Here is a 15,122-nt window from a genome sequence, read left to right on the forward strand (position 1 = left end):
AGGAATTTATACAAATAAGGATTTTTTGTTTGTTATTTTGAGACAGGCTCTCGCTCTGTTGACCAGGCTGGAGTGCAGTGGCGCTACCACAGCTCACTGCAGCCTTGACCTCCCAGGCTCAAGCAATCCTCCACCTCAGCCTTGCAAGCAGATGGGACTATAGGTGAGTAGATAGGACTACAGGGAAAAGCCATTAAACCTAGCTAATGTGTGGGGTTTTTTGTTTTGTTTTGTTTTGTTTTGCTGTTTTTGTTTTTTTTTTTTGGAGAGAGGGGGTCTCCCTTATATTGTCCAGGCTGGTCTCAAACTCCTGGGCTCAAGTGATCCTCCCCCCTTCAGCCTGCCAAATTGCTGGCATTATAGGTGCAAGCCACTGCTCCTGGCCAGATTTTTTTTTTAAAGGAAAAAAATAAGGATAGAACATAAAATAGAGCAAATAAAAATGCATACTATGAAGTATACTTGGTATAGATGGGCAGAAAATTTGGCTGGAAGCACACTAGCAGCCATCAAGAAAACCTACTCAATTCACACACTGACTACAAACTAAAATCACACAATTCCTAATAGTAAGGCCAGAAGGAGCATTATCCTGACTGTCTTCATAAAGAGGGTCCTGTATAATGTCATGGACTTTGTCCTGACATCTCTTACAATAAATACTTAACATGACGATGAATTTCACTTCTAGGCTTTTTTTACTTGCTGTAGTGTCTAAGAGGTTGATGGCATCACAGTGGAGCTCAATTCAGTTAACTGTGTCTACAAATGGCTAATACAAAACCATGAAAGAACACAACTTCCTGAAGTTGGTCTGGTTTTTAGAGTTCATCCTGATCTATATTTACCAAGCAATTTTCTGGTAATAATTTGGAGTTCAACAGAACTTATTAACTGCTACAGATGTTTCAACTTACCTAACAGTAAGAATTTCTCACTATAAATATACTGTAGCTTAATTTAAGAATGGTAATAAGAAAAAAAAATTAGCATTTTGGTTCATGTTGACCCTTGATGATACTGATTAAATCTAGGTCTTGGTCATACAAAGCCACAATGTGACACCTTACCCTTACTCCCTTCCCGCAGGAGCCCATGGGCCAGATAAAAAAGCAGCCATTCAGCCTCTTTCTCTTTGATATCTTAGTGATAAGAGTGAAACCATGCCTATAAACTTTATAAAATTAATCAAGGAAGAAAAACAAACGTAAACCAAGCTTGCAGCACATTCAGCATTCATCATTAGGTCTGCTTGTTCTCTGACCTGCTTCTTCATAGTAGTTCACTGCCTATTGTCCTAGAATCACACAGACCCTAGATTATCGTTCCCCTTAACTACTCTATAGATAACTTGAACATTATGAAATGCTACATTTTCCATTTGAGAAATTCCTTCAGGTCCTATGTGCCAGTGAAACTACTGACTCAAAGCTGGTCTGAAGGACCCCACTGATGCCAGCTGGTATGAAGGACCCCACAAAGACCTGACTCCCCAAACAGTGCAGTTTCTACAGCCTGATGATTTTTATACATGTATATATATGTATACACACACACACACATGCTATATGTATATACACACACACACACACACGCTATATATAACCCTTTGAATAGCAATATATATATGTACACACACACACACACGCTATATATATACACACACACAAATATATATCCCCTTGAATAGAAAAGCATATAGCAAATATTATATAGTATTTATGAAACCAACTAACAGGAGATACATTTGTTACAAGAAATTATTATATATAAGGTATATAATAATTTAGTAAGCATAAAGAAAATGTTATCTAGTATTAGGAGTAACATCTTTTTAATACAAAAATATTTCAAATTTTTGAATACAACTATAGAATCCACTCACCTCATCTACAATAACATGAGACACATTACTTAGAAGACCATCTTCTTGAAGTTTCCTTAGCAAAACCCCTGTTGTACAATAGAGTAACCTGGTAGATTCACAAGCTCGAGATTCCATCCGGATCTGATATCCACACAAGGAATTCTAAAGGGAGAACATAAGGCCTTGATTAGATTCTCATGAGTAATATGGGAAACAAGCTTTAAAAAGTGAAGCAGAGGTGCTGATCTTGCTGTTAAATGGAGCATTGTAAGTAATCTAGTACAATTTATTATATTAGTAATTATTAGTTTATTAACAAATATTAGCAAATCTATTTAGTGCAATTTATTATTAAAAGCATTTTCCCATGGTCTTCAACTATATAAAGCTATAAAATATATTTCATATTTTGGCAAATTTGAACAGAAAAACTTTTTTTTTTTTTTTTTGAGACGGAGTTTCATTCTTATTGCCCAGGCTGGAGTGCAGTGGTGCAATCTCAGCTCACTGCAACTTCCACCTCTTGGGTTCAAGCGATTCTCTTGTCTCAGCCTCCCACATAGCTGGGATTACAAGGGCATGCCACTACACCCAGCTAATTTTTGTATTTTTAGTAGAGATGAGGTTTCACCATGTTGGCCAGGCTGGCCTCGAACTCCTGACCTCAGGTGATCCCCCCGCCTCAGCCTCCCAAAGTGCTAGGATTATAGGCGTGAGCCACCACACCCAGCCCCAAAATTTTTGTTCTTTTCAAGATGTTGAGAAAAAAACTGTTCACTTTCTTTAAATACCATTAATATGATTATTAAAACATTAATAAATGTTGAATTAATTTCTTCCTAAATAATCATGGAGCAAAATATTGAGGTACTCAGGAATGGAATTTTAAGCAGCTTCTATAATTTGGTCTACTTTTCTATCAAGATCTCATAAAATTTGCCACCATTAAAAAGCAGCTAGTATCATACTAGGAGTGCCTAGCGGAATTTTAATGTAACATTCCCCATCACATTTTCTTTCTTACTCCTTCAGTCATTCCGTTGTCTTATTTGTGTATATGTCTGTCATTCTCTAACAGCAGAAACCGTGCCTTTTTTTTCCTCCTCTATTCCATGACAGAAACCCAGACAATTTGCTAAATAGAAAACTTTTAATGAAGGGGTACCCAGTTTAGAGATAAAAATATAATATGCCATCTCCAGAAAGAACAATTCAAAGTATAAATAATCAGAATTACATGAACTTGCAATTTGTCATATTTGGTTCTAACTAGTTTAATTAATTAAACTAATTCCTATACTTTGCCGTCACTCTGGTTAAGGTTTGGCCAGTTTTGCATATACTTGCATGGCAAAATGCATGACAATAGATATTTAAGTATTTTTCTCATTTTTTTTTTAAATATGGGGTTGGAAAATACTAACATTTTAATTTATACTGTTTTTCCCTTCTGCTCACTGAAAAGAATTAATGAAAATCATTCAGGAATATATTCCACAGAAAAGGTTTGCAAAAACTTGAGATATATTTTAGTAGAATTTGAGTTTGTCCACATTCTTTGGCTGTTCAATTTAGTGTGTAACATATTTGAATATTCAATTATTATAGTTAATATATTTTTTCTTTTATATGAGAATTTTAATGACAGAACTCTACTGATAATCCTTCTCATAGGACAGTGGCATACTATCACATCTATCAAAGAAAATGTGAAAAGTGCCTGAAATGTGCTACTGATCAACCAATAGCAGTGAAAACTCACATATGGTACACATTCCATTTGGATCACAAAAGCAAAGGTGAGTAATGTCACCATCATTCACTGAGGTGGAGTTGAATGACAGCTTACCCTTCCTCCAGGTCCATTTTCACAGCCCAATTCATCACATACTCTGTTGGCTAAACTAACTGCTGAGATTCTTCGGGGTTGGGTACAGACAATGTTACATTTACTTGCTTCCCACTCATTTAGAAGCAAATCTTCCAATAGAAAATGTGGTACCTGAGTACTTTTACCACTCCCTGTTTCACCTGCCACAACCACTACCCGATGCCTTTTAAGAGTTTCAACAATTGAGTCCCGATGTTTAAATACAGGTAGCTGTTGTCTTTCCTTTAGAAGTTTCTGATACTTAGGTGTGCTTTGCAACTTTCTAAAGAGGTTTCTAACAGGTTCCAAATCTTCCACATTTGCTGATTCCAAGGACAGTGCAGAAAAATCCTCATCCGAAACTAAATTTTCCCAAGATTCCTCGGGATCTTCAGAGTTTTCTCTCTTATTTTCAGAATGCTGTTGTTGCTGCTGTTGCTGCTGTTTCAGTTTATTCAGAAGTTTGGCAATAAAAAGATCACGTGGTTTATTGGTTTCCATTTTATTTAATTCTTCCCTTTTCTTTTCTGCATCACTCCACTCCAGCCAAACATCTCGGTAAGTGGGAGGAAGTAACTGATGAACTGACTAAAGGAAAAACAGAGGTATGTTATTTTCACTAACTATTCAATATGGAAATTCAATAGATTAGCACTTAAAAGGATAGCTATATTCATCTTAAAATATAATTTGACTCAAATTATTATTACTTTAATATATGTATGTGTATGATGCAAATTCAATTGATTAGCACTTGATAGCTATATTCATCTTAAAATATAATTTGACTCAAATTATTATTACTTTAATATATGTATGTGTATGATGCAAATTCAAAAACAGCACATCATATTCAGGCTTCTTGACTGACTAGCTGTGTAACCTTGGGCAATTCACTTAATCTCTATGTGTCTCAGCTTCTGCATTTTTAAAATGGAGCTAGTAATTGTACCTCCCTTATAGGCATATTCTGAGGTTAAGATATGTGAGGTGCTTATTCTCGGAATATGTTGAACTACTGAACAAATGTCTATTACTTATTCCTGCAGTGGCACTATATAAAATGTTAATGAACCACAAAGCAGTTCTTTTGAGATTCTGGCAGTTGTATAATGTTACAGGTTAAAGTATTTTAAATTAACTATACTGGATAGAATCTAAGTTATCTCAATTCTGTGCTATAAAGAATCCACAATTCTCTCTCTGACATTGATAGCCATTTTTATCAAGCAAATAGTTCATAGTGCCTTATTTTGCAAAATAAGGGAAATAAAGACATTAAGAACTTTTACTGGCAGAAATAGGAAAAGAACTACTGTCCAGAGTTCCACTTAATCAGTGTCTAAAATTTTCAATGGTTCTAATTTCCTACGAAGAAAGAAACACATTTACTGTAAAAAGGAAACACTGACAATCCAAAATTTTAAAAAAGAGCATTATGTTCTCTTAAAGAGCTTCCTTCAGTAGCACTTTATTTTAATCTTTCCTGAAACTGGAAGTGTATTGTTAATATAACCTAAAATTGAAAAATGGAAGCAATGTCTACATAATTTTTTTAAGTTGAGCGAGACAATATAACATTAAAGGAAAACAAACTTAAAAAATTTTCAGCCTGGGAAATATAGTGAGACCCTGTCTCTATACAACTTTTTTAAAAAAAATTAGCTGGATGTGGTGGCACATGCCTGTAGTCCCAGCTATTCGGGAGGCTGAGGCAGGAGGATCACTTGAGGCTTCAGTGAGCTATGACTCTGCCACCACACTCCAGCCTGGGCAACATAACAAGATGCTGTCTCAAAACAAAAATTCTCCTTAATTCAACCACACTAACAACTGTTTTTAGCATAGCTAAATTAGCATAGCTCCAAAAGTCGGATCATCATACTCTCTCTTTCAGACTTCTGGCCTAAGAGGAACGAAAGATCAAACTATGTTTAGGGTTGAAAGGAAGCCAAATTAGGAATAATGAGAAAGGATTAATCAGAAGAAACAGTCAATAAAGAGAAAATTGAACCATAATTAAATACTGCCTTCCACATACAGATATAGTTAGGCCTAAAAAGTCTTACCTGCCCTTTAACTAAACGGTAAAGGGCTAAAGTAGCTCCCAGGTGCTGAGCTTGCATGCCATCTTCTGTTAAGATTGTAGGGCATACTACCAGGACATCATCTTCAGACTTGATTACCCTAACCCTACAAAGAAGCAAACGCATTTTAAAAAAATAAAGTTGACAAAGTCAGATAAAAAAAACTCAGAATTCCATTAACATTAAACTCAAGTTTGTTAATTATTTAAATATTTCCATGGAAGGCATTATTAGATAATGATAATCTATCAGACAATAAACCTGAGATGTAGAATTGAGAGCTTCCTAAATGTCTGCTTACCTCACAGGGAACAAAAAGATTTCCACCTTAAATTTTTCTAAAGTTCATTCAGTTAATTAAAAACAACAACAACAAAAAACATACCTACATTTCCAGTATCTACCTACTGGAACTTTTTCAAAGGAAGGATTTGGACTCTTGGGAAGATTCTTCCTGACCCAATCAATCAGAAATTGTTTGGGAGATTTTCCAGTCCAACTTCGAGCAGTATAGTCAAAATTTCTTACATCATGAGGTTCTTTCTTTTTATCTAAAATGGTAAACAAAGATTGGTTCTTTAAAAATGGTCAAGCATTCTCTTTTCAGTGATCAAAGTCCTCTCTTGCTTTGGAGAACAGCACTTTTAGAAGATAATACTTGAGGCCAGGTGCAGTGGCTCATGCCTGTAATCCCAGCACTTTGGGAGGCCGAGGCGGGTAGATCACGAAGTCAGGAGATCGAGACCATCCTGGCTAACACAGTGAAACCTCGTCTCTACTAAAAGTACAAAAAAATTATTCGGCGTGGTGGCGGGCGCCTGTAGTCCCAGCTACTCGGGAGGCTGAGGCAGGAGAATGACGTGAACCTGGGTGGCAGAGCTTGCAGTGAGCCAAGATTGCACCACTGCACTACAGCCTGGGTGACAGAGCGACACTCCGTCTCAAAAAAAAAAAAAAAGAACAGGTGAAGAAAGGGCAAATAGAAAAGCTTGATTTTCTTCTATGTGACATAAGGAAATCCTCTTAATGGATAGAACCCGGGAAAATTCTCAATCTTTAAAAATAATTATCTTGAGGAACTTATGTATTCTTGTAAAATATGACACTATGCATGTGATGAACTTAGGATACTACAAATTGCAACATTTGGAAGGCTACTCTGTAGTTAAACCATTAAGAAAATAGAAATCAGATGTCATTTCTAGGTTTATCAGCTGTCTGCCACCGGCACCAGCACTACCCTCAACAGCTTCCTGTTACAGATAAAGTCCAAATTCCTTACTATTCTTTGCCTATTTGTTGCCACTCTTCCCTCTTGCTTATTATGCTATAACCACAATGGCCATCAGTCAATTCTTCAATGCTCTAAGTATGCCTGTCTCAGAACAGCAGACATAGCCACATGTGGTTAAATGTAAATTATTCAGTTTCTTAGTTACATTTCAAATGCTTCTTACTCATATTTGGCTAGCAGCTATGACACTGGATAGTACAGATATAGAACATTTCCATCATTGAAAATTCTGTTGAATAGTGCTGCTTTCTTTTTTACCTTAGATATTCCAATGTACCCTCTCCTTCTTGGAAGGACTGTTCCACCAACTTGTCACCAGGCTAACACCTAAACATCTGTCAAATCTCAGAGTAAATGTCATTACAGCAAGGTCTTCCCAATCCAAATTAGACCCCTTTGTTATCTATATTAGAAGCTACTTCCTTTGATAGTACACATCATAATTTGTAATTACGTATTGTATATATTTGAAGCTTACCTTTTCTACTGTACACTTGGAAAAGGCAGAGACTAGGTTATTTTGTTCATTACTGAACACACAATAAATACTACTGAGGCCAGGCATGGTGGGTCACACCGGTAATCCCAACACTCTGGGAGCCGAGGTGGGTGGATCACCTGAGGTCAGGAGTTCAAGACCAGCCTGGCCAACGTGGTGAAACCCCGTCTCTACTAAAAATACAAAAATTAGCCGGGCATGCAGGCATGCACCTGTAATCCCGGCTACTTGGGAGACTGAAGCAGGAGAATCGCTTGAACCTGGGAGGCTGAGGTTGCAGTGAGCCAAGATCGTGCCACTGTTCTCCAGCCTGGGTGACAGAGTGAAGGTCTGTCTCAAAAAAAATCCCCCACAAAAACAATAAATACTACTGAAAGAATGAATAATTTAAAAAACTGACAATTTAGTGTGGGACTAAACTAACTATAATGCAATCTGATAAATACTATACTTGCTATATCAATAATTAACTCAGAATTTTTTTTTAAAAAAACAATTAACTAAAAAACTTCTACAGTTTTTAGAAGACCATCCAGTCTTGTCTTCTAAAAACTATAATGTGTGGCCAGATGCGGTGGCTCATGCCTGTAATCCCAGCACTTTGGGAGGCCAAGGAGGGCAGATCACCCGAAGTCAGGAGTTTGAGACCAGCATGGCCAACATGGCAAAACCCCATCTCTACTAAAAATACAAAAATTAGCCAGGCGTGGTGGCACACGCCTGTAATCCCAGCTACTGGGGAGCCTGAGGCAGGAGAATTGCTTGAATCCAGGAGGTGGAGGTTGCAGTGAACCGAGATTGTGCTACTGCACTCCAGCCTGAGCTGGAAAAAAAGAAAAAAAAAAAAAAAAGAAAGAAAGAAAAAGGCTGGGCACAGTGGCTCACGCCTGTAATCCCCAGAGGCCAAGGTGGGCAGATCACCTGAGGTCAGGACTTCAAGACTAGCCTGGTCAACATGGCGAAACCCCATCTCTACTAAAAATACAAAAACTAGCCGGGCATGGGGGTGCATGCCTGTAATCCCAGCTACTTGGGAGGCTGAGGCAGGAGGATCACTTGAACCCGGGAGATGGAGGTTGCAGTGAGCTGAGATAATGCCATTGCACTCCAGCCTGGGCAACAAGAGTGAAACTCCATCTCAAAAACAAAAAACAACAACAAAAAAGCTATAATGCAAATTATAGTATTATGATAAATACTATAAATATTATCTGACAAATACTATGCTTGATGGTCTTCTAAAACCTATAATGCAATGTGATAAATACTATATGTTATACTATTTACTATTAGTAAATAGTATACTATTAAACTATAGTACATAATACTATACTATTTACTATATACTATTATTTTAAAAAAATAACTAAAACACTTCCATAGTTTTTAGAAGACCATTCAGTCTGGTCTTCTAAAAACTATAATGCAAATTATAGTATTATGATTAACACTAAAATATTATTTGATCCTATAGTGAATGGTCTTCTCAAAACTAAAATGCAATCTGATAAATACTGTACTTGCTATATCAATAATTAACTCAAAAATTTTTTAAAAAAATAATTAACTTGGGAGCACAAAGAAGTACATGATTACTTGTCTGGTGGTATGGAAGGAGTTAGGGAGGGCTTAGGGAAGAGGAGCTGTTTGCATTAAGCCTTGAGCTGGGAACAGGTTGGCCAAGTAGGGGGTAGCAAGATGAGCGAAGTAATGAAACCATAAAACAGCCAACGTTTTCAAGAGTAAGGTGGCTGGAGTAATAAGCCAATGAAATAAGGTAGAAAGGTAGATTGTGGCAGAATGCAAAAGATCCAGAATGCCATGCTAAAAGATTTGGACTTGTTACTGATGTCAGTAGGCTCACAGCCATTAAAGGTGGCAGGAAACTCACATTTAGATCTGTATTATAGAAAGATAACTCTGGCAGCAGTCTGGAGATGAATCAGAGAGAGATGAGACTGAGGCAAGATATTTATTTGTAATTACAAAATGCTGTACATGTGTAATCATAATTGTTAATACTTTTTCAAGACAGCTTATAAAGTGTAACTTCACTGCCATCTTACGTACTTTGCCAGAATGCAAAGTAACGAATTTTACCATTATATATTTCTTGACATTTTATTATTTACAAATTACACCCTGACCATCTTCCCTTAATTTTACCTTTCTCTTCTTCAGTAGCAGCTGCAGATTTTTCAAATAAATTAAAATTCAATGCACTTTCTCCTTCTGTGGCTACAGGAGGCTTTTTCCTTTCATTTTGTTGATGTGAAATCTTCATGGCTGGGTTAAATACTGGATGGTCTTCTAAAGTTTCCATTTCTACCAAGAAAAAAATATAATGTTTAGTTTCATGGTTTTAAAAAAATTGTTATTTTTTATTTATTTACTTTTTTGGTATTTATACACCAAGAGTTTCATGGTTTTCATGCCTTATTTTTTAAAATGATTAAAAAAAACTGCATTCCTTCTTTTTCCTTGTAGCCAATTATTTAATAATTCCTGTTAGGAATCTGTGCAGGAATCAGAGGCAATTTATTAATTTTCACAACATATACAAAAATTTTAAAATAAATTATTTAATAGGTGCAATAAGCCTGGAAAAACAAACATCTTCATTAAAATAAATACTCATGGAATTGTATTCACCTTTCTCTCTTGAATGACCACGATATTTTATGGTATAAAAATCATAGGTTGGCAAACTATGTCTTGTAGGCCAAATCAAGTCCACTGGCTGTTTCTGTATGGCTTGCAAGCTAGAATGGTATTTACATTTTCAAGTAGTTATAAGAACATTTGGTGACATGATACAATTATCTGAAATTTACAGTATCCATAAATAAAGTCTGATTAGAACATAGCCATTCATTTTTGTATGGTCTATGGCTGCTTTTGTGCTGTAACAGCAAATTTGAATAGTTGTAACAGAGGCTGTATGGCCCATGAAGTCCACAGTATTTACTACTTATTATTTTAAAAGTTTGCTAATCCCATGTATAAACTGTTAGAAAAGGGTAGACATATTAAAAGGAAGCATCATCCATCCCAGGAAGGCCAACAAATAGAAGACAATTACATTTATACATCTAAGTATTTGAAAGTGTTTACCTCTTTGAAATTTCCTTATTTTTTCCTGAGCCTCTTTTTGGCCTTGCTTGTTTTTTTCTAGTTTAAAGGTAGCTGCTTGTTCTTTTGCATCCAGCAGTTTTGCTGCAAGATGTAAGTACCTTTCATTCTGTTCCAAATAAAACAATGAGGAGGGGGAAAAAAAAAGAAGAGCAAGATTAGTTTATCTATGGTCAATAAACTGTATCAAAATCTGTGATATTTTTACCTTATCCTTTGATCCAGCAAATCTACTTTTAGGAATTTTTCATAGAGAAATAAAACAAATGCACAGATTTGCAGGTGCATAGATGTTTGGTGAGGCACTGACTGTAAAAGAAAAACTGGAAATCATATATGACACATCTCTACAGAGAAGACTATTCAGTCATTAGAAAATAAAATAAGGTTAGCAAAAGAAAGAGGGTGACCCACATGGAGAAACTTCCTTGACATGTTAGTAAACCAAAGCAAACTGCAGAATAAAAAGTAGAGCTCATTTCTATAAAAACTGTTTCAGCCAGGTGTGGTGGCTCACGCCTATAATCCCAGCACTTTGGGAGGCCAAGGTGGGCAGATCACCTGAGGTCAGGAGTTCGAGACCAGCCTGGCCAACATGGTAAAACCCCGTCTCTACCAAAAATACAAAAATTAGCTGGGTGTGGGGGTGGATGCCTATAATCCCAGCTACCCAGAAGGCTGAGGCAGGAGAATCACTGGAACCTGGGAGGCAGAGGCTGCAGTGAGCTGAGATCGTACCACTGCACTCCAGCCTGGGTGACAAAGCAAGACTCTGTCTCAAAAAAAAATTGTTTCATAAGTATGTGTATTTAAAGGATTATTCATGCAGTAATAATAATACTCATCTGAAAGTTAACTTCACATATCTCTTATCTTATGGAAGACAGGAAAAAAATGGCTTTTGAGGAAAACGGATGTCATAACCCTCAAGGACATGACTTGACTCCTGAGCAAAAACTAGGAAGAGTTTAAAGTTAAACTCAAATTACTGTTTTTCTCCCCCTTAGGTTAATAAGTGACAGCAGATTAGAAGCATAAAACTATGGACTGCAGAAGGAAACACAACTGTTAAAAGAAGGAAAAAGAGACAATTAAGCAAGCATATCTAGCCGAATTTTGGTACCATTTTGTGTAAAGACAAATATCAATACAGTGTAACAGACAGGAGGGTTAGCTACCACCTCAAATTCACCCAAATAATACTTATCCTTTCCATCTTTCCTGTACTTGGCAATGATACCACCATCCCTCCACTTATGCACCTCTTGCCATCTTTGGCACATTTTTCCCCCATAAAATTTGTCATCTTAACCATTTTTAAGTGTACAGTTCAGTGGTATTAAATACATTCATAATGTTGTACAACCAGCACCACCATCCATTTCCAGAACGCTTTTTATCTGGCAAACATGAAACTCTATTCCCATTAAGCATAACTACCCATTCTCCCATCCCCCACTAGCCCCTGGCAACCACCATTCTACTTTGTCTCTATGAATTTGACTTAGGAACCTCATATAAGTGAAATCATATGGTATCTGTCTTTTTGTGATTGGCATATTTCACTTAGCATAATGTCGGTCGAGGTCCATCCGTGTTGTAGCATGTACCAGAACTTCCTTCTTTTTTAAGGCTGAATACTATTCAGTTTGATGTGCATGCCACATTTTACCTATTCATTCATCTTATTGGTAGGTACTGGATTGCTTCCACGTTTTAGCTATTGTGAATAATGCTGCTATGAACACAGTGTACAAATATCTCCTCCAAGACTCTGCTTTCAATTCTTTTGAGTATATACCCAGAAATGGAATTACTGGATCATATGGTAATTCAATTTTTAATTTTTTGAGGAACTACCAAACTGTTTTCCACAGTGGCTGCACCATTTTACATTCCCACCAACAGTACACAGGGTTCCAATTTCTCTACATCCCTGTCAACATTTATTATTTCCAGTTTTTTTTGACAGCTGACATCCTAACGGGTGTGAAATGGTATGCCATTGTGGTTTTGATTTGCATTTCCCTAATGATTAGTAATGTTGAGCATTTCTTCATACACTTACTGGTGATTTGTGTATCTTCTCTGAAGAAATCTTCCTTAGCCTTTATATTCCGTAAATCACCAATTTCTACTGATTCTTGCTTTACAAATGTCTCTCTTCCTTTCCAATTACCGATATGAACCTTTATTATCTCACACCTGAGCAAGTGCAATAGCTACCATAATGGCCTCCCTACCCTTTCCAAATTGCTCTAAACATCACTCAATATTCCAAACCACCTCGAATGCTACTAAGCTTGACCTAAAAATTCTTGTCAGTTACCTGCCCCTAAATCTGTAGTGGCTCTTTACTGTCAAGGAAAAGTGTCAAAATCACCTTCTGGACATCAAAATCTTCCAGTCTCAGGTGAACTCACCTGTTTACTCCTATCTACCAGTACTCATCTATACATCTTATCTCTATATATGCTCATCCATTTTTTACTACTGAAAGACTCCTTGTACAATTCCACAGCTGTACCCTTGTTCACACTATTTCACACATGTGGACCATCTTCCCATCTTTCTTTGCCTGTCTGAACTCTGTGCATCCTTTAGGTCCCATCTCTTTGAAGTCTTGACTTAATGCTCCAATCAGAAGAGACCTCTTCTTTCTCCAAATCTCAAAGTAGACTTATACTGCCCTAAATATTTTACTTATATTAGTTTAATACAGAAACATGGTTTAAAAAAACTTGGATATACAGAAGAATATAAAAAAGAATTCTCCATCCCACCCTACCACCCTGGTCCTAATCACCAGTAACAGCTTCTTGTGTCTCTTTCCAGATGTTTTCTTTGCTTATGTAAAAAAGCAAATACGTAGCTATATATATTCTTTTACACAAATGAATTCATCAGATTACACATGCTGTTCTACAACTTCTACCATTTGCTTGTTGACAGACATATGGGCTGTTTGCAGTGTTTGCCTAATATAAATAAAGCTGCTATGAACATTTGTGTACAAGTCTTTGTGAACAAATGTTTTAATTTTTCTTAATACCTAGAAATAAAATTGTTGGGTCACATGACAAGTATTTGTTTAACTTTTATGAGAAAGGACCAGTTTTCCTAAGTGGCTGTACCATTTTACATTTCCATTAGCTTTACACTCCCATTAGCAATATGAGTATTCCAGTTGTTCCACATTCCTCCCAACATTTAGTATTACTGATCCTTTTAGTTTTAGCCATTCTGATGGATATATAGTGTATCTCATTTAAGTTTTCATTTTCATTTCTCTAATTTAATCTACTTTTGTGAGGTGTCTATTTTTAAAGGTTCTTTATATAATTATGTATAGAAGTCCTTTGTCAGATATATGTATTACAGTATTTCCCATACCTTGCTTTTTTGACTTAGTATATTTTCTGCCTTATATTTCTATCTTACCATATGATGTCTATGTTTTTCTCTCTAGACCGTGAACTTCTGTAAAGGAACGTGCCTTATCTTTTTTTATTACCTAAAGAATTTAGCATACTCCTTACTCATAAAAATCATTTTAAAATATTTGATGATTATCTCTTTAAATATGAGAAATGTTAATTAACATCTTTTGAGCAGTTAACTTTCTGCTAAGTTTTTGCCTAAGTGTTATTTTATTTAATCTTCACATCAACCCCTTGGAGGTACATTTCCAATTTACAAATGAGCAAACTAAGGCTCAGAAAAGGAAATATATCTTGCTTAAGAGCATCCAGTTAGAAGCCTAACACAAATTTCTACTCACAGGGTCAAATTTTTCCTCCTCTTCTAAACTTTTAGAATTCTCATTCTTTTCTTCTTCATTTTGTTGTTCAGCATATCGTAAAATCCACTCTTTCATATTTACTTCCATATTTTTTTCTTCCTTTTTTGGCTAGAAAGAGAAAACAAATATCTGAAAAACCAAAGTTAGAAAAAGGTGTCAAAACTATCTTGTCACTGCTTTTACAATTTCCTCACACTCAAAAGCAGCAGACATATAAGCTGTTATTCCTTATTGCTCAGTGAAGGACAAATAAATTGACCTTAACATTAAGAAATTTACAATTGCAAAATCCAAAGAATATGTTTACATAAAGCGGTAAAAAAGAATGAAAGGAGAACTGTTAAAAACTAGTGTTGGCTGGGTGCGGTGGCTCACGCTTGTAATCCCAGCACTTCGGGAGGCCAAAGCGGGCGGATCACAAGGTCAGGAGATAGAGACTATCCTGGCTAACACGGTGAAACCCCATCTCTACTAAAAATACAAAAAAATTAGCCATGCGTGGTGGAGGGTGCCTGTAGTCCCAGCTACTCGGGAGGCTGAGGCAGGAGAATGGCGTGAAGCCAGGAGGCGG

The 15,122-nt window shown here is 36.4% G+C and overlaps 1 protein-coding gene and 1 long non-coding RNA gene across 7 annotated transcripts in view; one reads left to right on the forward strand and one right to left on the reverse strand.

Annotated features, from left to right (window-relative positions):
- CCNO-DT (CCNO divergent transcript) overlaps positions 1 to 15,122 on the forward strand; it is a 61,409-nt gene that overhangs the window by 45,593 nt on the left and 694 nt on the right. The window contains exons 2-4 of the long non-coding RNA NR_185977.1: positions 47 to 163; positions 3,542 to 3,666; positions 4,284 to 4,342. This is a non-coding gene — a long non-coding RNA (CCNO divergent transcript). The remainder of the gene's footprint in view (positions 1 to 46; positions 164 to 3,541; positions 3,667 to 4,283; positions 4,343 to 15,122) is intronic.
- Positions 1 to 15,122, reverse strand: part of DHX29 (DExH-box helicase 29) — a 51,640-nt gene that overhangs the window by 23,432 nt on the left and 13,086 nt on the right. For 3 of the 6 annotated variants that reach the window (NR_144323.2, NR_144324.2, NM_019030.4), the window contains exons 6-12: positions 14,531 to 14,659; positions 10,732 to 10,858; positions 9,784 to 9,942; positions 6,210 to 6,375; positions 5,807 to 5,930; positions 3,717 to 4,325; positions 1,886 to 2,029 (exon numbers count right to left, since the gene is read on the reverse strand). Coding sequence is in view for 3 of the 6 variants with exons in the window: in NM_019030.4 (NP_061903.2) it covers positions 1,886 to 2,029; positions 3,717 to 4,325; positions 5,807 to 5,930; positions 6,210 to 6,375; positions 9,784 to 9,942; positions 10,732 to 10,858; positions 14,531 to 14,659 (1,458 nt within the window). In the remaining 3 variants the exon portion in view is untranslated. Of the gene's footprint in view, positions 1 to 1,885; positions 2,030 to 3,629; positions 4,326 to 5,806; positions 5,931 to 6,209; positions 6,376 to 9,783; positions 9,943 to 10,731; positions 10,859 to 14,530; positions 14,660 to 15,122 lie in introns of all 6 variants that reach the window. The other 3 variants (NR_144325.2, NM_001345964.2, NM_001345965.2) reach the window with 2 other exon arrangements.

This window comes from Homo sapiens, chromosome 5, assembly GCF_000001405.40.
Source record: "Homo sapiens chromosome 5, GRCh38.p14 Primary Assembly".
Taxonomy (NCBI): domain Eukaryota; kingdom Metazoa; phylum Chordata; class Mammalia; order Primates; family Hominidae; genus Homo; species Homo sapiens.